At 48.4% G+C, this 24315-nt stretch overlaps 1 protein-coding gene across 3 annotated transcripts in view, besides 4 other annotated features; it reads left to right on the top strand.

Moving 5' to 3' along the window:
* FA2H (fatty acid 2-hydroxylase) overlaps window positions 1-24315 on the top strand; it is a 61852-nt gene that overhangs the window by 10529 nt on the left and 27008 nt on the right. For 2 of the 3 annotated variants that reach the window (NM_024306.5, XM_011523317.4), the window contains exon 2: window positions 24177-24269. In NM_024306.5, the coding sequence (NP_077282.3) occupies window positions 24177-24269 (93 nt within the window). Of the gene's footprint in view, window positions 1-20057; window positions 20103-24176; window positions 24270-24315 lie in introns of those variants that run through there. The other variant, XM_011523319.3, reaches the window with a different exon arrangement.
* Window positions 3090-4289: an enhancer, noted in NCBI's record as "BRD4-independent group 4 enhancer chr16:74793901-74795100 (GRCh37/hg19 assembly coordinates)". NCBI's record gives its function as "activates an origin of replication core promoter dependent on BRD2, P300/CBP, MED14 and CDK7 cofactors, and independent of BRD4, by STARR-seq in HCT116 cells {active_cell/tissue: HCT116}" and the evidence as "EXISTENCE:reporter gene assay evidence [ECO:0000049][PMID:35650434]".
* Window positions 10954-11453: an enhancer, noted in NCBI's record as "H3K4me1 hESC enhancer chr16:74786737-74787236 (GRCh37/hg19 assembly coordinates)". NCBI's record gives its function as "activates a minimal SCP1, AML or CMV promoter by ChIP-STARR-seq in primed H9 embryonic stem cells {active_cell/tissue: H9 hESC(primed)}" and the evidence as "EXISTENCE:reporter gene assay evidence [ECO:0000049][PMID:30033119]".
* Window positions 15188-15851: an enhancer, noted in NCBI's record as "H3K4me1 hESC enhancer chr16:74782339-74783002 (GRCh37/hg19 assembly coordinates)". NCBI's record gives its function as "activates a minimal SCP1, AML or CMV promoter by ChIP-STARR-seq in naive H9 embryonic stem cells {active_cell/tissue: H9 hESC(naive)}" and the evidence as "EXISTENCE:reporter gene assay evidence [ECO:0000049][PMID:30033119]".
* Window positions 15852-16517: an enhancer, noted in NCBI's record as "H3K4me1 hESC enhancer chr16:74781673-74782338 (GRCh37/hg19 assembly coordinates)". NCBI's record gives its function as "activates a minimal SCP1, AML or CMV promoter by ChIP-STARR-seq in naive H9 embryonic stem cells {active_cell/tissue: H9 hESC(naive)}" and the evidence as "EXISTENCE:reporter gene assay evidence [ECO:0000049][PMID:30033119]".

The following is a 24315-nucleotide window of genomic DNA, read 5'->3' as shown; positions in this document are numbered from 1 at the left end:
GAACAGTGCTGCAATGAACATACATGTACATGTGTCTTTGTGATGGAATGATTTATATTCCTCTGGGTATATACCCAGTAACTGGATTGCTGGGTGACATGGTATTGTAAGGTGGGCAGAAGACTCTAATGACCACTTTCCCCACCTGCTCTTTCTCTCTGATGGAAAAAGAGCTCAGCCACAACAACAAAATTCGAGAACAACAAACTTGATGCTAGCAACACTCATAAAGCTTATAACTGAGAAATATGAACTTCCAACTCAGTACTTTATATTGTGAAACACTGCCTCCAAAACACTATTATCCAAATAACTTCAGTTTCTTACCTTGATGGTATATTGCAAAGTATTTAAACAGCAATACCAGGCAAGCAAATTTGAAGGTGGTGGGATTTGCTTTAACATATTTGAAGTCTGATGCATAGAAAGTATTTTTAAAATCCTGTTACAGTAAAACTAGTAGCCACCAATTTCATTCATGAAAGTATGTCATTATATACTTAGAGTGAACCATGCAACCTGCAATAAACTTGCTTGAAAATTACCTAAGTAAATTAGTTGTAATTTCTCCTTTAAGAGGGGGAGTAGAATTCTAGTTCTCTGTGTTCTCTTGTGCCCAGTAGGACCTTTCCAGTGTTGCTTAGCATTGAATGATGTTCAGATTACCTAATGAGAAATGGAATTAGAGTTTTTAGGGATCTCTAGAAATGGCTGGTTTTAGTTTATAAATTCCAGGCCGGGCACGGTGGCGCACGCCTGTAATCCCGGCACTTTGGGAAGCTGAGGAAGGCGGATCGCTTGAGGCCAGGAGTTCAAGAACAGCCTGGCCAACATGGTGAGACCTCGTCTCTACTAAAAATACAAAAACTAGCCGGGTGTGGTGGTGCGTGCCTGTAATCCCAGTTACTCGGAAGGCTGAGATACGAGAATTGCTTGAACCTGGGAGGCTGAGGTTGCAGTGAATGGAAATCACGCCACTGCACTCCAGCCTGGGTAACAGAATGAGACTCTGTCTCAAAAAAAACAAAAAAAAATTCCAAACGTTAATAACTTATAATAACCCACTTAGGTACTTGTACATAGCCCCTAGTCTTAGGTAATAACAGAAATCTATGAAATGGCATCGTTTACTCACAAAGATCAAAGAAAGACCTCAAATTTTAAAGTCAGTTTGATCAAGGCCTACACTTTGGGACCCTGTTGTGGAGGAATAAGGAGCACCTCGCTGGACTGAATAAATCCAGCTTCCATGATCCTGTGTTGCCCCCAAACAGGGAAAAGGACAGATCAGCTTGGTTTCATGGTTGCTTTCTCTTGTGCCAGGCAAGGTCTTCTGGAAACAACCATAATGACTTCTGCTGGTTGGAGACAAGGTGCCATAAAAAATTCAGTTGTTCCTTAGACCCAAGTAGAAGAGTCCTTGAATCCTAATAAAAGGCCACTTTTTTAAGTTTTTCTACTCTAGGCCGGGTGCAGTGGCTCATGCCTGTAATCCCAGAACTTTGGGATGCTGAGGTGGGTGGATCACAAGGTCAGGAGTTCAAGACCAGCCTGACCAATATGGTGAAACCCCATCTCTACTAAAAATACAAAAATTAGCTGGGTGTGATGGCATGCACCTGTAGTCCCAGTTAATCGGGAGGCTGAAGCAGGAAAATTCTTGAACCAGGGAGGCGGAGGTTGCAGTGAGCCAAGATCGTGCCACTGCACTCCAGCCTAGGTGACAGAGTGAGACTCCATCTTGAAAAAAAGTTACTCTATTCTAAATGAAGACCAATATTTCATAGACATAGGACAAGGGGTTGGGAGAGGGAAATTGATTATCTTTAAAAAAGAAACTGAAAAGGACTTAAAGTTCGCAGTGTTGCACTGATTTTTAGTTGAGCAAATAATGAGTCAAGTCGTGTTGGTTTTGTGCACATGTGTGGTTTTTCCAAAAAAATTGTATGGGCCGGGCACGGTGGCTCACGCCTGTAATCCCAACACTTTGGGAGGCCGAGGCGGGTGGATCACGAGGTCAGGAAATCGAGACCACCCTGGCTAATACGGTGAAACCCCGTCTCTACTAAAAATCCAAAAAAATTAGCCAGACTTGATGGTGGGCACCTGCAGTCCCACCTACTCAGGCGGCTGAGGCAGGAGAATCACTTGAACCTGGGAGGTGGAGGTTGCAGTGAGCCGAGATCACGCCACTGCACTCCAGCCTGGGTGACAGTGAGACCCTGTCTCAAAAAAAAAATTGTGTGGAAGCACAATGTGACATGCCATAAACTCCAATTTGAACATTCACAGCTTACTCCTAAATGAGTCATCTTATTAACAAGTGTATTTAAGGGCTAAGGGTCTCTCTTCATCCTTTAACAGGTCTATCTCTTTTGAAAGGCTTCTTCCTTCATTCATTGCCCCTTTTTCAATACTGGCCTCCTTATTTGGCAATGGAGTTGTGAGTCAAACAGTTCTCCACTGCTTTCAGTGACTTCATGAAGTTTTCTATTTTTTTTCTGCATGGATGTTTATCTTACTTTGCATTTTGATACATTGCATATTGTTGGATGATAGCACCCTCTAACCATCAAAGAGAGAACACTTTGCCTAGATGGGCAGGGCAAAGTTGGGGTAGGAGGTGGTCAGTATTTGAGCAAGGGCCAAATTTATTAAACAACTGACTCATAAATATCTACATGATTTTTGCTGTCTTTTGCAACTTGAATCTTCAGGAACGCAGATAAAGAACAGTTGGATAACGATGATCCCTGTAGAGCTAATAGTAACACACCTTAAGTGTATATAGTGATCTACGTTTTTCTTTCTTTCTTTCTTTCTTTCTTTCTTTTTTTTTGAGACAGAGTCTTGCTCTGTTGCCTAGGCTGGAGTGCAGTGGCGTGATCTCAGGTCACTACAACCTCTGCCTCCCTGATCCAAGCGATTCTCCAGTCTCAGCCTCCCGAGTAGCTGGGATTACAGGTGTATGCCGCCATGCCCGGCTAATTTTTGTATTTTTAGTAGAGACAGGGTTTTACCATGTTGGCCAGGCTGGTCTCGAACTCCTGACCTCAGGGTGATCTGCTCGCCTTGGCTTCCCAAAGTGCTGGGATTACAGGCATGAACCACCGCGCCCGACCCTATCTACATTTTTCAAAGTATTTTTCCATAGACTTTTTTTCCCTTCCAACTTTTATTTTAACTTTAGGGGTACACGTGCAGGATGTGCAGGTTTGTTACACAGGTAAACGTGTGCCATGGTGGTTTGCTGCCCAGGTCATCCCATCACCTAGATGTTAAGCCCAGCATCCATTCTCTGTCTTTCCTGATGCTCTCCCTCCTCCCACCCCGCCCCATAGATTTCTACTTGAACTCTTAAAGTGGGTGGAGTAGATGTAGGAACCTGTATTTCAGAGAGATCCTGCAATATGGGTCTCCAAGTGCCCAGTATTTTCAATGCATACTCATTAGGGACAAATCTTAGACATGAGATTAAGCCGAGGGGTACCAAATACATTTCTTTCAGATCTAGGAGGGATGAGGTACCATCCAAGGTCACCTCTGATCCTTCTGACTGGGCTGAAGTCAGGCCTCTGAAGACAGAAGGAGAAGGATCCTTAGGCGGAAGCTGTTTGCTTTCTAGACTTCATAAACTTGTCTTCTAGGATGACGTGAGGCAATGAGTATACTCATGTGATGGGGATTTCCTGGGGGGAGCAGGCATGCCTTCCTCTGACGTGTCATTGACTCCCTGCACGCTCAGTTACTGATCAATCAGCGGATCACTCCAGCTTCCTGGCAGCTGCCCTTTCATGGGGTGAGGGAGTGTGGGTCAGAGTGTAAGCTGGGATGATGTGTTGGCTTGAAAAGCTTTACCTGCCATCACAGGCGCTTAGGAAATGCCTGGTTGCTGCAGTTGTATCCCAAAGTCTTTAATTTAGACAATTTTAGTTTAGCCAGTCTAGAGAATACTTCCTTTATGAGCATTAGGGCCTGCAAAACACCCCAAATACATGGGAAACCTGAAATAATAATGATTTGTGGCTCCCAGCATGCTCCCTCGGGGGCCTGGTGTCCTGGAGGCTGGTCTGACTTGCCCGGAGGTCACTGGTGTGTGGCTCAGCTGCAGCGGCAGCGTAGTGGGTGTCCAGGGGAGTGGACAAGCAATTCTCCTGTCATTTGCAACTTTCTTCAGGAACTCAGATAAAGAACACTTGGATAACGATGATCCCTGTAGAGGGATTTCATCTGTACCATCACACATGGAAGAGGAGTTGCTAGGTCAGGAAAGGCAGCTGCTAAGCTAAGGTTCTTGTCCCTTTGTCCTTGCATGCCTAAGGAGGGGCTGTCCAGGACAAGGTAACTTTGTAGATCCTCACCTCCTTCCTAAAAAAACTTGCCATGGGGTTGCAATGTGCCATGTCCATCAGTGCTCCAGCAGACACCAGGAGAGGAAGAGGGGACCCCTAGGAGGTGGCTGCTGCTTCTCCTGTCCAAGATGCAAGTCCTGTCCAGGTGAAATAGGGCAGGCGAGGCCCTGGCTGCACTGCCAGACAGTATCCCATAGGCAGACAGAGCCTCAGGCCAGCACCTCGCCTTCCAGCCAGCATGGCTGTGACTCCCTAAGCAGCCTGATCCAGGATTGCTGTTACCTCTGGAGTGTCTTGCTAGCAGAGGTGACCTTCCCGGGGAAAGTAAGGGAATTTTAAATGCTCCTTCTATCTAGGTTTCTCTTGTTTAGAAAACAAGGAAGTACATGTGGGTGACACAGGTGTGCTCAACAAACAGGTTTAAGAAGGGTCTTTAGTGGGAAGAATGGAAAAAGGAGTGGGAAACTCTTACTTCCTCCACCACTCTTGATCTCACCCACAAAGGTGAGTTCACCTTGCACCCTGAGTGGGTTGGAGCTGATCCCAGCCAATCAGCCGATGGCATGTTGCTACCTCATAGCCAGGAAAAGCCCATCTCAGCAGTAAGACCTAGGGCCTTCCACATCAGACCTTCTCTACGGCAGTGGCTGGTCTGACTTGGGAAAATGGAGGAAGATAGATGTGTCATGAATGAAACGTGTGTAGTATGTTGGTGCACATTTAAAGACATTGAAGACTGACATCGAAGTTCCCTTATAGAAATAAATGAATCCTGGAGTTCTAATTGCTGGTCCCACCTAAGTATCTTCTCCTTCAGGATAAGAGTATAAAGAATGTCCCAGACTAGATGTCATGAGTCTAGACCCGTGTTAAGGGAGAACCTGCCAGGTGCAACAGAGTGGGACGTGACCTGATAAGGCAGGGGACCAAGGTGACTCATGAACTTTAGTGCAGAGCCAGGCAGCCATGATGAGAGCATAGTTTGTAGGCAGCTACCTGGCTTTGAGCCTTGCATGCAGCCAAGATCCCAAGGCCTTCAGGAGGATTCCCCTGGAATGTTCTAGATACAGGAAGCGGTACCTGCTGAAAGGGCTGGGAAGGAGATTTTTCCTGGACTGTTTCAAATCCACTGTGTCCTAGACACTTGCATTTTTTTAAATTATTTTTTAATATTTTGTAGAGATGGGGTTCTTGCTCTGTGGCCCAGGCTAGTCTCGAGCTCCTGGCCTCAAGTGATCTGCACACCTCAGCCTCCCAAAGTGCTGGGATTACAGGTGTGAGCCACCGTCCTGGCCTAGAAACTCTCATTCTAATCGACATTAATTAATACTCTCTAATGGCATTTCGTTAGGATTGATGTCAAAGTTTTATCACATTCTGCAGTATTCTGTTTGTTCAGGGAATGGATAGGATAGTTGAATAAAATTAGAGTAGATTTTTTCTATCATAATAATTACATATTAATATAGTTCATAAAAATTTAAATAGTTAAGACGAACGTGCAAAAAAGAATTGTTTCCAGCCGGGCACGGTGGCTCATGACTGTAATCCCAGCATTTTAGGAGGCCGAGGCAGGCGGATCACGAGGTCAGGAGTTCGAGACCAGTCTGGCCAACATAGTGAAACCCTGACTCTACTAAAAATACAAAAAATTAGCCGGGTGTGGTGGTGTGCGCCTATAATCCCAGCTACTCAGGAGGCTGAGGCAGGAGAATTGCTTGAACCCAGGAGGCGGAGGTTGCAATGAGCCAAGATCACACCATTGCACTCCAGCCCGGGCGACAGTCCGAGACTCCGTCTCAAAAAAAAAAAAAAAAAAAAAGAATTGTTTCCCTCTCACTCTAGTCCCTCTATAAATACCATCATTTTTTGTGTAATCTCACAGAGATTCTACCCATATACATGCGTATATATATATTTAAAGACAGGCTCTCACTCTATCACCCAGACTGGAGTATAGTGGTGCTATCTCAGCTCACTGCAGCCTTGACCTCCCCGGCTCAGGTGATCCTCCCACCTTAGCCTCCCAAATAGCTGGGACTACAGGCACAAGCCACCACTCCCAGCTAGTCTTTGTATTTTTTTTGTAGAGACAGGGTTTTGCCATGTTGCCCAGGCTGGTCTCAAACTCCTGGGCTGAAACAATCCACCCACCTCAGCCTCCCAAAGTGCCAGGATTACAGGCATGTGCCACGACGCCCAGCCACACATATAGTATTATCTTTTTATTTCTCACATAAAGGAATCATATGAGGCAGACTGCTTGACAACTTGCTGTCTTTTTCACCCAATGACATATTTTGTACCTCTTTCCATATCAGCAATATAATTTTACTCCATTCTTTTTAACAGCTGTTCCTATTGATGCTTTTATCTATTACGTCAGTGTCACAAGAAGCATTCTTACACAATCCCTTTGCATATATATGCAAATCAACCATAATACAGAGTCCTGGATTTGGAATTTCTGGATCCAAATAATACACATCTTATATTTTAATAGATAGTGCCAAATTGCCCCCAAAACAGTTGTACCAATTTTAACTCCCTCCAAAAACGTGTGAGAATGCCTGTTTCTCCACACTTTCACCAATTCTGTGTGTTAGCAGTCTTTTCAATCATTGTCAATGGATGAAAAAATTGCTCCCTGTTTAAATTCTTATTTATATGAAGGATAAGGGAGGTTCTGAGTCTTTCCATGTTTCTGAACTTTTTGCACGTTTTTAGTAAACTGCCTTTTCATGTCCTTTATCCATCTTTCTATTGATAGTTGTCTTTTTCTTACTGATTTATAATCTCTCCTTAGAGGTAAAGGGTATTAGCCTGTTTTTTGGCATCTGTGTTACTATTTTTCTTCCACTTTTCATTTGCCTTTTGCCTTGCTTAATGTTTTTTTTTTCAACGCAAAACCTTTAAATTTCCTTGTAGTAAAAGACACCGGTTTTATTCTTAGAAGGTTCTGCCCCTACTTTAAGATTTTATACATAAAAACAAAATATTTCAGTTTCCTACTAATAATTGTATGCTTAGTGTTTTTCTTGTGTTTGTTTTTGCTTAAATATTTTGCTTCCCTGGAATTTTTTTTGGAGGGATGGGGTGTAAGGAAAAAAATAGGTATTATTTTAGGTTTATATTTTTCCAAATTACTAACCAGTTTTCCCAGTAGATTTATTGAATGATCTATCTTTTTCCACTGATTTTTTTTAAAAAACCTACTCTTTTCACATATCAGTCATTTACATATATAGTTATTTAGGTCTGTTTTTGGACTATATTCTATACCAATGAAATCACTACTGTTTTATTAGGTTTTAGCCATTTGCGTTTTTCCTCCTTGCATTCCCTTGCAGCCAAGACTCTGCTCCGCTAGAGAAAGAAAAGGAACAGGAGGTGGGAGTGATTCTGGAGCCTGTCACCAGCCTTGGCGAACACAGTCAAGTTTGACTTTCAAAGGCTAGGGCTGCCGGGCTTGCCCTGGGCCCTGAGGTCATGTGGCTGGAGCAGATAAGAAGCCACTTTGGAGAAACCCTTGCAAGCGGCAGCCCCCAGCAGCATGTGTGTGGCCCACAGTGGTTGTCCGTCCAAGCAGTGATGGAATAGTAGTGATTTCAGCCAGGGGATGCGGGCATGGGGAGGGGTGTGGAAGGAGCAGGTAGCTGCAGCTTGTCCTGGAACTCAGCATTCAGGTGGGTCCTGCTTATTCTTCCTGCTTTGTGTTCACAGCCTGTGGTTAGAGGGGAGGCCTGCAGGCCAGATTCCACGTGTGCGTGGATGACCAAGGCTAGGACGGCAGAGGGGCAGCCATGATTGCTAGGGGGAACATGGCACCTCTACTGGAAAGCCACTTGAATCTCAAACTTTACTCTCCCTCTGGCCGAGGGAACTGGACATGTATTCCGCATCTCCTCCTCGTTCCTTTCATCAGAATTGCATGAGGAGCATATTAAAATAGATTCCTGGGACTTTCTGGGGAGATGGAACTGGTCTGTATCTTGATTTGGGCATTGGCTGTAAGGAGGCATATCGTTGTCAGACTATACCCTTACGGTTGATTTTTTTTTAACTATATGAAAATTACGCTTAGTAGGGGGAAAAGAGAGCCAAATAAATTTAACACCAGCTTTATAGTCACTCCTAAGCAGGTGACCTCACATTTGCAAGAGTTAGTGCTGGTATACACAAGCCTTATAAAGACTGCTTTGGAAAGAAAAAGTAGAATGTGAATGGTGAAATCCAGGTTAGAGGGGATGCAGGTGCTCCTGGTGAGATTCTCCCAGTTTGCTGTATGTTTGAAATTTTCCTAACAAAATGTTGGACAAAATACTAAGTAGTTACCCTGTGGAAATCATTCACAGACGTGTTCTTAAAGAATGAGTAGAAAAATAAAATAACAGCACATGAATGGTTATATGCAGCAAAGGATCACATTTCCAGTGATATTATGTTGGCCATCACAAAGCACCGTACACAGGATGGCTTAAAACAACAGAAATGCACTTTGGGAGGCCGAGGCGGGTGGATCACCTGAGGTCGGGAGTTTGAGACCAGTCTGACCAACATGGCGAAACCCCGTCTCTACTAAAAATACAAAAATTAGCTGGGTGTGGTAGCACATGCGTGTAGTCCCAGCTACTCTGGAGGCTGAAGTGGGAGAATCACTTAAATCTGTGAGGTGGAGGTTGCAGTGAGCCGAGATGGCATCACTGCATTCCAGCCTGGGTGACAGAGCAAGACTCCATCCCCACCCACCAACACCCCCCAGCCCTGCCAAAAAAAAAAACACAAATGTATTCTCTCACACTTCTAGAGGCTGGACAGCGGACATCAAGATTTCAACAGGGTTGGTTCCCTCTAGAGGCTGCGAGGAAGAATCCACTTCAAGCCCCTCTCCGGGCTTCTAGGGGGGCTGCTGTCCTTTGGTGTTTCTTGGCTTGTAGTTGTATCGCTTCCATCTCTGCCTCCATCTTTATGGGTGTTCTTCCCATACGGGTGGCTCTATGTCAATGTCTCCTCAGTCCCCTCTTAGGAGGATGCTAGTCATACTGAAGTTAGAACCCACCCTAATCTAGCATGACCTCATCTTACATTGATTACATCAAAGATCCTATTTCTGACCAGGGGTGGTGGCTCAGGCATGTAATCCCAGCACTTTGGGAGGCCGAGGCAGGAGGGTCACTTGAGCCCAGAAGTTTGAGACCAACCTGGGCAACATAGGGAGACCCTGTCTCTATAAAAAATACAAAAATTACCCGGATGTGGTGGCGTGCACCTGTAGTCTCAGCTACTCAGGAGGCTAAGGTGGGAGGATCACTTGAGCCCAGGAGTCAGAGGTCTCAGTGAGCTGAGATCACGTCAATGCATTCCAGCCTGTGTGACAGAGCCAGACCCTGTCTCAAAAATAAATAAATAAATAAAAATCCTGTTTCCAAATAAAGTCACATTCACAAGCTCTGGGCGGACATGAGTTGGCAGGGGGAATTGGAGGAGGAACACTATTCCTCCCAGTAAATTTTTTTTGTTTTTTGTTTTTTGTTTTTTGTTCTTGAGATGGAGTCTTGCTCTGTCACCTAGGCTGGAGTGCAGTGGCCCAATCTTGGCTCACTGCAACCTCCACCTCCCAGGCTCAAGTAGTTCTCCTGCCTCAGCCTCCCACATAGCTGGGACTACAGGCACGTGCCACCACACCTGGCTAATTTTTGTATTTTTAGTAGAGACAGGGTTTTGCCATATTGGCCAGTCTGGTCTTGAACTCCCGACCTCAAGTGATCCACTCACCTTGGCCTCCCAAAGTGCTGCAATTACAGGCGTGAGCCACTGTGCCTGGCCCCAATACAGTTATTATTAAACAACTTCTGCCACTCAAACAACCTAGATGAAAGTGAATATGAATGCTCATTGGAGAACTATGGTCTATTGAAGAAAAATGACTCCAAGACAGAGAGTTCAATGTCGAAGACTCATGTGAAAAGTTTGATGCTTCACTTGAGTGAAAAAAATCCGTGTGTAACTAAAGAATTAATGTGCGTAGATTATATTTTTAAAAGATTATAAGGCCACCCTCCAAACCTACAAAATGTAAATCTCTGGAGTCAAGACCTCAGAAATCTGTATTTTTTGTAAATACCCTTTGTGACTCCGGAGCACCATGAAGTTTGTTGTAACCCATTGTCCTAGAAGGATAAGGACAGAAGAAAAATGGAGATGGGGAAATTGGAGGTGCTGGGTGTGGCTTGGCAGGCAGTGCTTATGGGGTTATTTATTTATTTTGAGCTGGAGTCTCGCTCTGTCACCCAGGCTGGAGTACAGAGGTGCAATCTTAGCTCACTGCAACCTCCAACTCCTGGGTTCAAGCGATTCTCCCACCTCAGCCTCCCAAGTAGCTGGAATTATTACAGGTGCGTGCCACCACACCCAGCTATTTTTAGTAGAGACGGGGTTCACTATGTTGGCCAGGCTGGTCTTAAACTCCTGACCTCATGATCCATCCGCCTCGGACTCCCAAAGTGCTGGGAGGCATGAGCCACCTCGCCCTGCTGTTCGTGGGGTTATTAAAGAAGCCACATCCTCAAGCTCTTGTCGTGGTGCGTAGCGTTTGGTGCGGAGCAGTTGAGCTGTGGACACTGACCGGGCAGCCCATGCTCTTGCCCTCTGAGACAGAGGAGGGAGTCTAGGATCTGGAGCCTAAGACTGTGCTCTAGTTCTGGCTCTGTATCTAACTGGCGGTGTGACTTTGGGCAAGTTAATCAACCTCTCTGAGCAGTGTGTTCCTCACGCCCTGCCTCCCCTGCAGGATTCTGTGTGGCTACAGTGAGATAATATGAGAGCTGTGGAACAGGACGCAGGGATCACACCCACACAGGAGGGCAAGGAGTCCCTTCAGCTCCAGCTTCTGCTAACCAGGGGTGGGTCTCTGCTAGGTGGTGAGGGACGGGTGTTTTCAGAACCTGAGCTGCTGTGTGCTTGGACCCTCCTGGGCAGGACTGTGCACCCCTGGAGGAGCCGGAGAATGTGACATTCTGGTCTCTCTGAGTCATCCCTCCAGGCCTGGCCAGGGAGATCTGCGATGGCCTCCCGCCTTCACTCCATCTTCACCTGGACAGGTGCAGCACTATACCCAGGACACTTACCCTGGTCAGGGAAGGACAGTCCCCAAAGGTGAGGCTGGCCAAGGCCCCAGTTTGTCTTGGGGGCTCACGGGGCTGCCTCCTGCTCCCCACCATCCCTTCCTCCATTCAGCCGCAAATATGCTAATATTTCCTCTGTGCCAGGCACCCTGCTTGGTGCTGGGGACAAAAAGACACCTGGCTGAGACACTCATGGGGATTACCTCAGAGGAGTGAGACAGACATGATAATTACAGGTGGCAGCAAGTGATGCAATAGAATAGAAACATTCTGTATGGACCAATACCCTGGGTCAGAAACATTCCAGGCAGAGGGAACAGCAGGTGCAAAGGCCCTGAGGCATGACAGGACCGAGAGGAGACTCTGGCATTGCTGGAGCATGGGGAGGGATGGAGTCTGGTGGGGGCTGAAGTGGAAGGAGGTGGGCAAGAGCCCTACTTGGTGGGGCTCATGGGTCATGGCCAGGGATTTAGATTTTATGCTGAGAACCAAGGGCGGCCACTGGAGGATTTTAAGCAGAAGACTGACAGATTTTCTCTACATTTGATCAGTTAGCTCTGGCTGCCATGTGGAGGGCAGATTGGGCTTGGGGGGAGTCAAGAGTGGAAGCAGCAAGAGAGTTAAGAGGCCATTGCTATTGTCCAGGTGGCAGATGGGGGTGGCCTGGATTGGTGACTGTGAGGATGGAGAGAATTTGAAATTGTCGTGGACATGGAACCATTAGAACTTGCTGATGCATTGGATGTCAGCAGCGAGGGAAAGGAAGAAGTTGAGGATGACACCAAGGTTTTGGCTTGAGCAACTGGGCGATTTGATTTATGGAAATGATTAATACTGGGGTGGGTGTCCATGTTTGGGATAGGACTATCAAAGCTCACCGGGGCCAGGTTTGAGATGCCAGGGAAACATCAGTAGAGATTTTGAATACTGATTGAATATGTGAGTCCAGAGCTGAGCTGTCCAAGGTGGGAACCACCAGCCATATTAGACAGCACACATATAGAACATTTCCATCACTGGACAAAATCCTGCCGGGTGGCACTGGTCTAGAGCTGTGTCCCAGCCCAGCACCATAGGCATTTCTCTCTGGGATAATGGCACCCAATCTGATGGTGCTGTCTACGAAGCTGCTGTCCGTGTGTCATTTGCAAATGGCTCTTTCTTGCCCTCTCTGCTTGATCACACCAGAATGTGTATTCAGTGCTGTCCCTTACCTGTGGCCATGTCAGGCAGGCACTGACCTCCCAGAAAGACAATTTACCCTGTGGTCATTTAAGGAAGTCACTTCCTGGGGCTGAAGCATCATTATGGTGACGAGTGTAACACATAGAATGGAGGCTATACCCACCAGGCGTCACCAGTTGTCATGAATTCTAGGACTCACTGCGTAGACTTTGCTAATTGAAGAAATGTGTGATGGGGCCAGGCGCAGTGGCTCAAAGTTATAAACCCAGCACTTTGGGAGGCCAAGGCGGGTGGGTCGCCTGAGGTCAGGAGTTCAAGACCAGCCTGGGCAACATAGTGAAATCCCATCTCTACTAAAAATACAAAAAATTAGTCAGGCATGGTGGTGCATGCCTATAATCCCAGCTACTCGGGAGGCTGAGGCAGGAGGATCGCTTGAACCCGGGAGGCAGAGGTTGCAGTGAGCCGAGATTGAGCCACTACACTCTGGCCTGGGTGACAGAGCGAGACTCTGTCTCAAAAAACAAACAAAAAGAAATGTACAGTGGGACCAGGCACAGTAGCTCATGCCTGTAATCCCAGAAGTTTGGGAGGCTGAGGTAGAAGGATCCCCTGAGGCCAGGAGTTTGAGACCAGCCTGGGCAAGATAGCATGACCTCATCTCTAAAAAAAAATAAACAGATTAGCCGGCCATTGTGGCATGTGCCTATAGTCCTAACTACTCAGGAGGCTGAGGTAGAAGGATTGCTTGAGCCCAGGAACTCGAGGCTGAGGTTGCAGTGAGCCATGATTGCACCACTGCACTCCAGCCTGCTGACAGAGCGAGACCCTGTCTCTTAAACACACACACACACACACACACACACACAGTGAAAAAAAAGAGGACATAGGCCTGAATCCAATGGACTTGTCTTCTAGAACACACCATGCCACCTGAGACAAGTCAGCCAATCTTTCTAAGCATAAACATCCTTAACTGCACAGGGAGGAGATTGCATGGCCAGGCATGGGGAGAGGGAATTGCTTGAATCAGCAAAAAGAAGTAGGAGGTATGAGGGAGGGTGTTGTTGTTGTTGCTGCTCTTGTTGTTTGGGTTTTTTAAATAAAACAGTTCAGTGACTATTATTGTTTTTCGTAGTATAATCATTTGCCATTTTGTAAACAGTGGCAAGAACAATATTTTTCTTTCTTAAATTATTAGATAATAAAAGACGCATTTCAAAATATTGTTTCTGGAATAATGGCATATGAGGTTGTTTGTAAATCAATAGTCTTGATTCTCCTTTTAAAAATAGCAAAATACAGGATAATTCTTAGATTGGAGTGTTGTGCAATAGATCTGAAATTTGTTTTATTATACTAGTTGGGTCAGTGAGGAGATAATATATTTTAGGTGTCGTACGTGTATTTTCCTTGTGGAATGCACATCCTGTAAACCTACTTGAGGTGGCTTGAGGTCTCAGTCTTGAGAGACTACGGTCCAGAAGTGGTCTCAGCAAGTCTGCAAAAGGACATGTTTTAAGGAACTCATGTCCTGTGAGCTGTTGATGCTGCTCATTGGAGTTGAAACTCAGATCCTCCCATTTTACCCGTGCAGCAAGAGGCAGGATTTTGTAAGGAAAGACCCAGAAGGGAAGCCTCCAAAAGCCCCTCTTGTTTACCCTGACAAGCTCTGGCCGCGTCCCTTCCAGCTGTGCTCCCAGCACGGAGACTTTCCCTGGGGGCCTCTCCAGATCCCCAAGTCCAGCATTCACTGGAAAAACCCACGTGTCTCCCTGACTCAGTGCATTCTTGGAAACTTTGCCCTAATCCGAGGTTAGAGGCTGGAGGGCTAAGGATCCCGGTGGCTGCCAACAGTCAGTGGCAACATTTGGTAAAGAATGGAGTTAGTGGCTTGAAAACCCACAGGGGGTATCCTAGCGAGTGGTAATTTCATTTTTTCAAACCACTGGCCCCTTTTCCTACGTCCTGGGTTGCCTGCCCACCTGTGCTGGCTTAGGCTTCCGGTGTCGAGGTTGCTGGCAATGGCATCAGAGGGAGTTCACTTCACGAGCAGAAGCAATGCTGGGTCCGTGGTGAATAGAGTCAACGCCCCAGGGCCCAAGACTGTCTTTTTGTTCTCCACACACCTGAGCTGGAGAGTTGGTCACAGCTCAGGCACAGGTTTCCTGCTGGTTTTCTTTCCTCCTTTCCTCTTGCTCCCGTGAATACCAGGACGGTGGCCTGCAGGGCCCATCGCCTTGCAATGACTGCGGGGAGGGCGAGGGGTGGGTGGGCTTCGGGGGTTCTGAGGCTTCTCACTTGCCAGATATGGTTTCTTAGGCCACCACAGGCATCCAGAGCTCAGCTCCTGGCCGGTCCTGACTCCTGGATTGGATCTAGAAAGGCAGAGGGCAGCTTATTAAAGATGGAAGCAAGCGGATCCGCTGCCTTCATTTCAGCCGAAAGCTTTTACCAAAAACAACCAGCTCGAAGGGGACTGCTCCCTGGGGGCCGCAGAGGTGGGCTTGTTAATGCAAAAGGCTCCTCCCCAAGAAAGGCTCTTGCTGCAGATACAGATAACGGCTTGGAACAGCCTTGGCACCATCATCTCCCTCTGGGGCCTGCCCCTTCCTAGCTGCCAGGGGCCATGTGCCACCCAGGGGCGCTGCGACACCTGGACCCCCCACCTTCCCCCTGGGCCTCCATGGGGTGGGGGCAGCTGGACCCAAGGCCCGAGGCAACCATTCCCTTTCAGAAAAAGGGTTTTCAGGCAAAATCCAGGCTATGGGATAAAAGGCCATCTGTCCGTCCCGCGGTGCCCAGCCCCAGCTTTCCCGAACAACATGCCTTTATGCCGGCGCCCCCGCCCCCAGCCCCCGCCCGCCGCACACTGCCTCCTTTCACGCGGCCTCTATGGTGGACTTGTTTGTTTGTGGTGCAGAGCGCAGACTTTCTGTTGTTCTTCTCTGTTCTCTCCCCCGTGCGCCGTCCAAGCAAACCCTCTCTAGGGAGGACAGGGTCTGGGACCCTGGAGGAAGCTGGGGGCTTGGGGACCTCCCAGAGAGTCCTCCACGAGGGGAGAAAGGAGGCTACTGTGAGGAACCTTCCCGGGAACAGCCCTCGGAGTGGGCTGCTGTGTGCTCCCCCCGCCCGTCCAGCAATCACTTGAGAGATCTTGAATAAGTCATTCGGGCCGCCTGTGCCTCAGTTTCCCCCGTGTGTGGAATGCCTCCTGCCAGTCTCTCAGGGAGAGTTGTGTCCGCCCCAGTGAGACGCCGCCACATGTGCGCCTCGGTGAAGGTGCTTGTGGTGGAGATGGCAGGGCTGTTCCAGCTGCCACGTGGGGGGTGGGGGAAGTGCAGAATAGAACAAGGTTTGCACTAAAGAGGGCGGCGTTTGCTTCACTGCTCCACGCGCAGCGTTTCCATGTAGCGAAAACTGCGAAGTGACCTCTCAGGCCCTAAAGAAGGGGAACAAGGCCGCCCCTGGCTGCAGATGGGCAGCAGTGGGCTAGGAACGGACCTATTTGAATGCCTGTCCTATTTGAATGCCTGTCCCCCCGGGGCCATCTGTGTGGCCTGCCCCTGCGGGCTGGGTGGCAAGGCTGTGCTGACTGAAAGAGCCTGGTTTCTGCCGCGTCCTCAGCATAGGATGAGGGGCAGACTCCTGGCTCCACGGCTCCTCGGATGCCTCCCTCGGTTGTCCCCTCTTCTGGTTGGATTCCCTCTCCTTTGGTGGCGGTCTTGATCCCAGATGAAACTGATTAGCTGATTCAGGCCTTGTTACAGGTTTTCTAGGCTGCTGTAACAAACTGTCACAAAGTGGGTGGTTGAACAACAGAAATGTATTGTCTCGCAGCTCTGGAGGCCAGAAGTCTGAGAGCAAGGTGTTGGCAGGGTTGGTTCCTTCTGAGGACATTGAGGGGCAGTCCTTCCAGCCCTCCCCTGAGCTGCTGGGGGCTGCCAGCTGCTCTTGACCATCCTTGGCTTGGAGAGGCATTGCTCCCATCTCTCCTTCCATCTTCACACGTGTGTGTCTGTGTCCAAATCACCCCTTTTATAAGGCCCACCGTAATGATCTCATCTTAACTACATCTGCAATGACCCTGTTTCCAAAGAAGGTCACATTCTGAGACACTGGGGGTTAGAACTTCAGCATAGAGTTCTTTGTGAGGACTGGCATAGCTCAACCCACAACCTCTACACTGGGAAGCGAGACCCTGGAGGTAACGCCCTTGGTGCATGGCCTGAGACTCTACTGTGATTCCTTACCCCTCACAGATTTTGTCACTTTTCTTTCTTTCTTTCTTTCTTTCTTATTTATTTATTTATTTATTTTGAGGTGGAGTCTTGCTCTGTCACCCAGGCTGGAGTGCAGTGGCGAGATCTCGGCTCACTGCAGCCTCCATTTCCTGGGTTCAAGCAATTCTCCTGCCTCAGCCTCCCAAGTAGCTGAGATTACAGGTGCCTGCCACCATGCCTGGCTAATTTTTGTATTTTTAGTAGAGATGAGGTTTTGTCATGTTTCCCAGGCTGGTCTCAAACTCCTGACCTCAGGTGATCCACCTGCCTCTGCCTCCCAAAGTGCTGGGATAACAGGCATGAACCGCCATGCCTGGCTAATTTTATCACCTTTCTAGACATAAGGGGAGGAGAACCGGGAAAAACCAGGTCCAACCCCCACTTCTGCTCCCTGACCCGCTGCTTCCTCTAGAAACCAGTCCCCACCTGAGGTTGCCCTTCATCAGACCTTGCTGGGACTCTGGTCCCTCTGGTGCCTACCTGCCCTGACCCCACCTGGGCCTTGGTACAACTGGCCCTGAATGCCTGCCCCATGAAGCTATATAGCCCAGGCTCCCCATTGGAATTCCCTGTTCTGGGAATTGACAGAGAGAAGAAAACCCCTGCTCTCGTCTGTCTCTGCTCATCCTTCTCAGTGGACAGGGCATCCCAGGGAGCAGGAGGCCTGCAGCTTGCCTGGGAGTTTCAAACTGGCAAACCAAGGGCCACATTTATATTCATATGTGTTGGTTCGGCCCACATCATTTGTTTTAAATGCAAGTCAAATTTTAAAATCTGGAGATTTTACATAAAAATATATTTTTCCAGCTTTTCATAGAAATCAGGGCCAGGCGCAGTGGCTTATGCCTGTAATCCTAGCACCTTAGGAAGCCAAGGTAGGAGGATCACCTGAGGCCAGGATTTCGAGGCTAGGAGGTTGAGACTAACCTGGGCCACATAGCGAGACCCCCTTTTCTACCAAAAAAAAAATAATAATAATAATAATAATTGAGCCCAGGAGTTCAAGGCTGCAGCAAGCCATGATCACACCACTCCACTCCAGCCTGGGCAACGAAGTGAGACCCTGTGTCAAAAGAAAAGAAAAAGAGAAAAGAAAAGAAATCTGAAGGTCTGACAACCCTTGGTCCCCATCCTCCTATGACTTGGACCTAAGTCAGAGCTGCCCTCTTGTAACAGGGTGTGGCCCCTCTATTTCACTGTAGTCTGCTTCATTCCCTGCAGCCTCCTTGATACGAAGATGCAGTGACAGGCCAGGCACTGTGGCTCATGCCTGTAATCCCAAGGAGGCCGAGGCGGGCAGATTGCCTGAGTTCACGAGTTCAAAACCAGCCTGGGCAACACGGTGAAACCCCGTCTCTGCTAAAAATACAAAAAATTAGCCAGGCATGTTGGTGCATGCCTGTAGTCCCAACTACTCAGGAGGCTGAGGCAGGAGAATTGCTTGAACTCAGGACACAGAGGCTGCAGTGAGACAAGATGGTGCCACTGCATTCTAGCCAGGGCTACAGAGCAAGACTCTGTCTCAAAAAAAAAAAAAAAAAAAAAAAATCCATTGACAGTGACTCGATACCATCCTTGTGGCTTGGACTGACCAGAGAGGAAATAACGCCTGGTGATGAGCCAGGAATTGGCGTTGTGCTGGGAGCAGTGAGGGTTGGTACTTCTGTCTCAAAGGCTTCTCTCCTGTGTGGCCTTGGACTGTGGCTGGAAGGCTCTAAGGAGGTTGAAGTGCCCTCCCTACCCTCCATTGCCCGGCACGTCCAGTGGCTCTTGGCTGGGAATGAGCAGTGCCTGCTGACCCCGTCTCCTTGGCAGAGCACCTTGGCCATTGCTTGTGCCCATCCTTTTCTCTCCAAGTAGACGTGGGCTATGGAAGGCTCTTTTCCTGCCTGCCCTCCCCACGCATCGGTGGCCTCTCCAGGCCTGGGGCAGGGGGTTGGGGAGGGCTCTCAGAGTCGACCCAGGCCACCCACCTGCTCGCTAATGGATCACTCAGCAAGTATTGGCAGGGCCAAGCCTGTGCTGGGGACTAGGGAGTGAGCAGTTAGCAAGATTGAGTGGGGTCTCTAGTGCACGGTGCTTATGGGCTAGCTTGGAATACAATCAACAGGTAAATGCGGTATCAGGAGAGCCAGGTGCCCCCTTGCCACTCAACAGCCCTGGAGCTGAACACAAGAGTGTCAAGCTGTCTCTTCTGCCTACCTTCCCAAGGCAGAGAGGCCTGGAGGGACTGGGATGAGGGCTTCTGTCCTCAGCACCAGACTGTTGCCCTGGGACAGTCTCGTTCGCCTCAGGGTACAAGAAAGCAATCACCTGACACAGATGGGTTGGACACCCCCTGTCAAGCCACACTCATCAACACTTGTGCTGATCACTCCTGTGAAAGCCAGTGTGGGTCTAACTACAAAATTGTTCACTTCCCTTACCAAATACTGAAACCTACCCAGTTCAAAGGCATCACCAGCCAGGCGTGGTGGTTCACACCTGTAATCCCAGAACTCTCGGAGACTAAGGTGAGCAGATTGCTTGAGCTTAGGAGTTTGAGACCAGCCTGGGCAACATAGCAAGACCCCGTCTCTATAAAAAATAAAAAATTTGGTGGACATGGTGGTGCACACCTATAGTCCCAGCTATTTGGGAGGCTGAGGTGGGAGGATCACTTGAACGTGGGAGTTCAAGAGCAGCCTGAGCAATAGATCAAGACCCCATCTCTACAAAAAAATTAAAAATTAGCTGGGCATGATGGTGAACACCCATCATCCCAGCTACTTGGGAGGCTGAGGTGTGAGGATTGCTTGAGCCCAGGAGGTTGAGGCTGCAGTGAGCCAAGATCATGCCACTGCCCTCCAGCCTGGGTAACAGACTGAGACCTTGTTTCAAAAAAAAAAAAAAAAAAAGGCATCATCTGGAATAATTTCCAAATACTGGAAAAAAGAAAGCACACATATCTTCATTTGAGGCACTTTTTGGTTTTTAAAGTGTTTAAAAACCACCCTTTGGCTTGCTTCCAGGACCAGGAGAACCTTTTAAATAATGAATGTGAAAGTTTCCAAGAAACTTTCTAAAAGCCTTTTAAAGCTGGGGTTGTACCCTAGTTCCCAGGAATGACCTCTACACACTCCTGATTCATGGATGGTGTTCGCCTGTGGAATTCAAGGGTGAGCTGGCTCAACTATAAAATAAACACCGGGGCGGGAGTCTGGAAAACGTGGCCCAGATCAACGTGTGTGGCATGCGTGCGGCACAGCTGCTCCTGGCAGGACCCAGTTCCTGGAGTCCTGGCGTGCCCCAGGTGGGAATGGGAGACCTTCTTCAGAAGGGTCTTTGTCTTAGCTGTGTGTAGGGAGGGTTTTTAGACCTAGAATCTCACAACTAGACTTGAGAAAATCGATTAATGAACAATGCACCGGAGGACGTGTCCCTGTACCTAGGAGTATTCCTGCTACTGACACCGCGTGACGCTGGCTCTGGTTTTCCTTGGAGTCTCCTCCCATGTTGGAGGTGTGTCCCATCTTGTGATAAGAACCTGGGCTTCTGCCAAGGAGGGGTGTGGTCCCAATGAAGCCACCCAGGAAAGCACCTTGCTTAGTCAGTCTGGGGCTTATTTGCCAGAAGCATATCAGTCCTGACATTGCTCCCTGGGGTGGCCCTAGGACCCGAGAGCAGAAGCAGGAAGGAGGATAGAAAGAGGCCATGCCGACCCCCTTCCCCTTTGTCCCTCTTTTCCTCAGCCTCCATAGAGAGGGTGCCCCCTCTTCCAGCCCTTGACTGGTGCTGGTCCATGATTCAGAGGAATTCTGGAGAGAGAATCCCTGGCCCCTCTGTGCGGGGGATGGAGCCGCTCGAGGCATGACCCACTGCCCTTCCCCCTGTCTCCCAGGAGCAGGACAGAAATCCACAGAGCAGGGACTCCTCCGGTTTCTTCATGTCACTCAGGATACTTCCAGTTGAATGAAGCTTTCAATGTGCTGTTTCTATTTAGCCAGCATCTCTCTAAGAAACAGGATTTTTGTAATTTTTGAAGTAGAACCTTAGAACCAGGACATGGTGAACATTTGATTTACTTCCTGTTACAGATAGATCATCGAGCCCCACATCAACCAGCTTGAGCCAAAAGAACAATTATGTGTAGTTAATGCTCATAAAAACAGAATGTTGTTGTAATTGTTCTGCATTCATAAATACTGTAAAATAGAGGTCGGGCATGGTGCCTCACACCAGTAATCGTAGCACTTTGGGAGGCAGAGGCAGGAGGATCACTTGAGCACAGGAGTTCAAGACCAGACTGGACAACATAGTGAGAGACCCTATATCTATAAAAAGAAAATAATTAAAAAATAATAAAATAGAACCTTTTTTGGTAAATGTCAGTATAAAGTTGCCAACTGCCTTCCTTGGAAAGAACTGCCTTTTATCCTGAAAACACATACTTCCTATATATTTGGTATTGAAATTTCCTCTTGTTTATGAAATGTTGCTGATAGTAAATTAAAAAAAAAATTTTTTTTTGAGACAAGGTCTTACTCTGTGGCCCAGGCTGGAGTGCTGTGGCACAATCATAGCTCACTCATAGCCTCAACCTCCTGGGCTCAAATGATCCTCCTCCCTCAGCCTCCTGAGTAGCTAGGACTGCAAGCGCACACTACCACCACACCTGGCTTTTTTATTTTTTCTTTGATAGAGACAGGGTCTTGCTTTGTTGCCCAGGCTGGTCTCGAACTCCTGGCCTTAAGCAATCCTCCCACCTCAGCCTCCCAAAGTGCTGGGATTGCAGGCATCGGCTACCGTGCCTGCCTTTGAAATATTTTTATTTGGCAAAATAAAACGCTGGCAATCTCATACCAGTCTTATATACTTTTCATTCTGCTCGTGCCTGTCCTATGTACTCGGCCGAAGGGCACTGAGAATCTATGATCTAGGTTGTTGGAGTTTTGATCCTTTTATCTGGGCACTGTCCTATCCAGCCCAGAGTGCAAGATGCATGTTTTGTGTCCTGGCCCACCCCCTCAGGCAGACAGCCGTATTTCCCCACCACGTGGCAGGGTGGGCAGATGCACCCACTCCATTTGTTTCACATCCCCAAGGAGTGTGAGTCCTGCAGAGCTTCAGGGCTTCGCCCCCACAGCCAGGCCCACCACATGGCAGGAGTCTTGGAAGACGTTGGCTGCTTGCAGAGACCCAGCATTGAAACACGACCCACTGGGGAAATGTGGGTGGAGCATCTGGTATTTGCAAGACCCGTGCTAGGCGTGGGTCTGGAAACAGGAAACAGAAATCCACAAGGTCCCTGCCTGTTGGAACCTATCACACCACTGGAGTATTTTGAGGTTAAACAGAATTGGAACAGGATTATTGAGCTGCTGTCACGGGAAGAGGGAGGACATTTATATTGGATATTTAAGGCATTTCCATGTATGATGTGCTATAAAATCTACTCTTCTTTGTACTCAAGACAGCATGATACACACACACACACATACACACACACACATACACACATACACACACATACACACACACACACACACACACACACACATATATATATATATATATATATATATATATATATATTTAATCAGGTGTTGGCCCAGCACGGTGGCTCACACCTGTAATCCGAGCACTTTGGGAGGCTGAGGTGGGCAGATCACCTGAGGTCAGGAGTTCAAGACCAGTCTGGGCAACATGGCCAAACCCCATCTCTACTGAAAATACAAAAATTAGCTGGGTGTGGTCATGTGCACCTGTAGTCCCAGCTACTTGGGAGGCTGAGGTGGGAGGATGGCCTAGGCCCAGAAGACAGAGGTGGCATGGGCTGTTGCACCCCAGCCTGGGTGACAGAGCAAGAGTCTGTCTCAAAATAATAAACAAAAAAATTCAGATATTAGCTTGATGATACAGACTAAATATGCTGAGACACACAGACTAAGAAAGGACCACAAAAGCCGACTTTTACTTGGGTTACGTGTGGGTTTTCCCATAAAATGCCAAAATAGTCACTGTCACCATCAGGTTCTCTTGGGTCCGTTTGGAAACAAAAATGTACAAGTCATGACAGTAGCCTCTTGGCCGCCGGCCAATGCCCAGCTTCCAGCTCCCTGCCATGGCCACCAGCACCATGGCTTCCTTCAGTCACAAGGACACAGAGAAGGCAAGCGCTCTCTCTGCCCCTCCTTCGGGGCAGCATGGGTTTCACTTACGTGCCAGCCTGCTGTCTCTGGCCTCACCCTCCGTGACGTCAGAGCTGGCTGGGGCTGTGTGCTTTTCCCAGCACATCCCGTTTCCCTCTGACTTTACCTCTTTGTGAGTTCGATTTAACCTTGAGCCCACTTGGGCACTGCTCTGCCAATCCCACCCCACGTGTGGCTGCTGACTGGCACTCGGGTGTTGCTGCAGGGACAGCCTCCCTCGCTCCCTGCTGCCTTTCTTTCTTGTGGGTATGTGGCCCTAGAAGCCACAGCCTGTGACTCATCAGTGTGGCCCTGTGAGCCCCACCAGGTGCCCTGGGCGCTACCCTGGGACTCCCTTTGCCTGGCACCTGCCAGGGACCTGAAGGAGAACCGGCAGGGACCCCTTTCCCGGAGGGCTCCCACTAAGCAAGCTTCTTTCCCTGCAGTCTCTCCACTGGCTCACTTCCTCTCCCAGATCTTTCTGCCTCTTTTATTTATGCAGAAATTTTATTATTATTATTATTATTATTATTATTATTATTATTATTATTATTATTTTGAGATGGAGTCTTGCTCTGTCGTCCAGGCTGGAGTGCCAGGCTGGATCTCGGCTCACTGCAACCTCTACCTCCCGGGTTCAAGCGATTCTTCTGCCTCAGCCTCCTGAGTAGCTGGGATTACAGGGGCGCACCACCACGCCTGGTAAACTTTTTTTGTATTTTTAGTAGAGACAGGTTTTCACCATGTTGGCCAGGCTGGTCTCAAACTCCTGACCTCGGGCGATCCACCCATCTTGACCTCCCAAAGTGCTGGGATTACAGGTGTGAGCCACTGCGCCCGGCTGGAAATTATTTTTTTAAGGGAAATGTAAAATACAGAGAATAACAATGCTCACATCAGGGTCTCTCTGTTTTCCAAAGTACCCAGCGTCCTTGATCTCCACCACCCTGCCCCACCCACGGGGCTCTCACCACTCCTGGCTGCCTCTTCTCGGGGCAGCTCGGGGCTCTGCCCTCTTCCCTCACCCACTGTGTATAATCCTCTTGTATCTTCTCCTTCCAGGGCTCCATGGAGAACGAGCCTGTAGCCCTTGAGGAAACTCAGAAGACAGATCCTGCTATGGAACCACGGTTCAAAGTGGTGGATTGGGACAAGGTACCTGGCATAGGATGGAGTGGGGTGATGACTGGGGGCTGGCGGG

The sequence above is a fragment of the Homo sapiens genome, chromosome 16, assembly GCF_000001405.40.
Source record: "Homo sapiens chromosome 16, GRCh38.p14 Primary Assembly".
NCBI classification, from domain to species: domain Eukaryota; kingdom Metazoa; phylum Chordata; class Mammalia; order Primates; family Hominidae; genus Homo; species Homo sapiens.
Note: the sequence above shows the minus strand (reverse complement) of the source record. Positions and strands in the feature narration are given on the sequence as shown.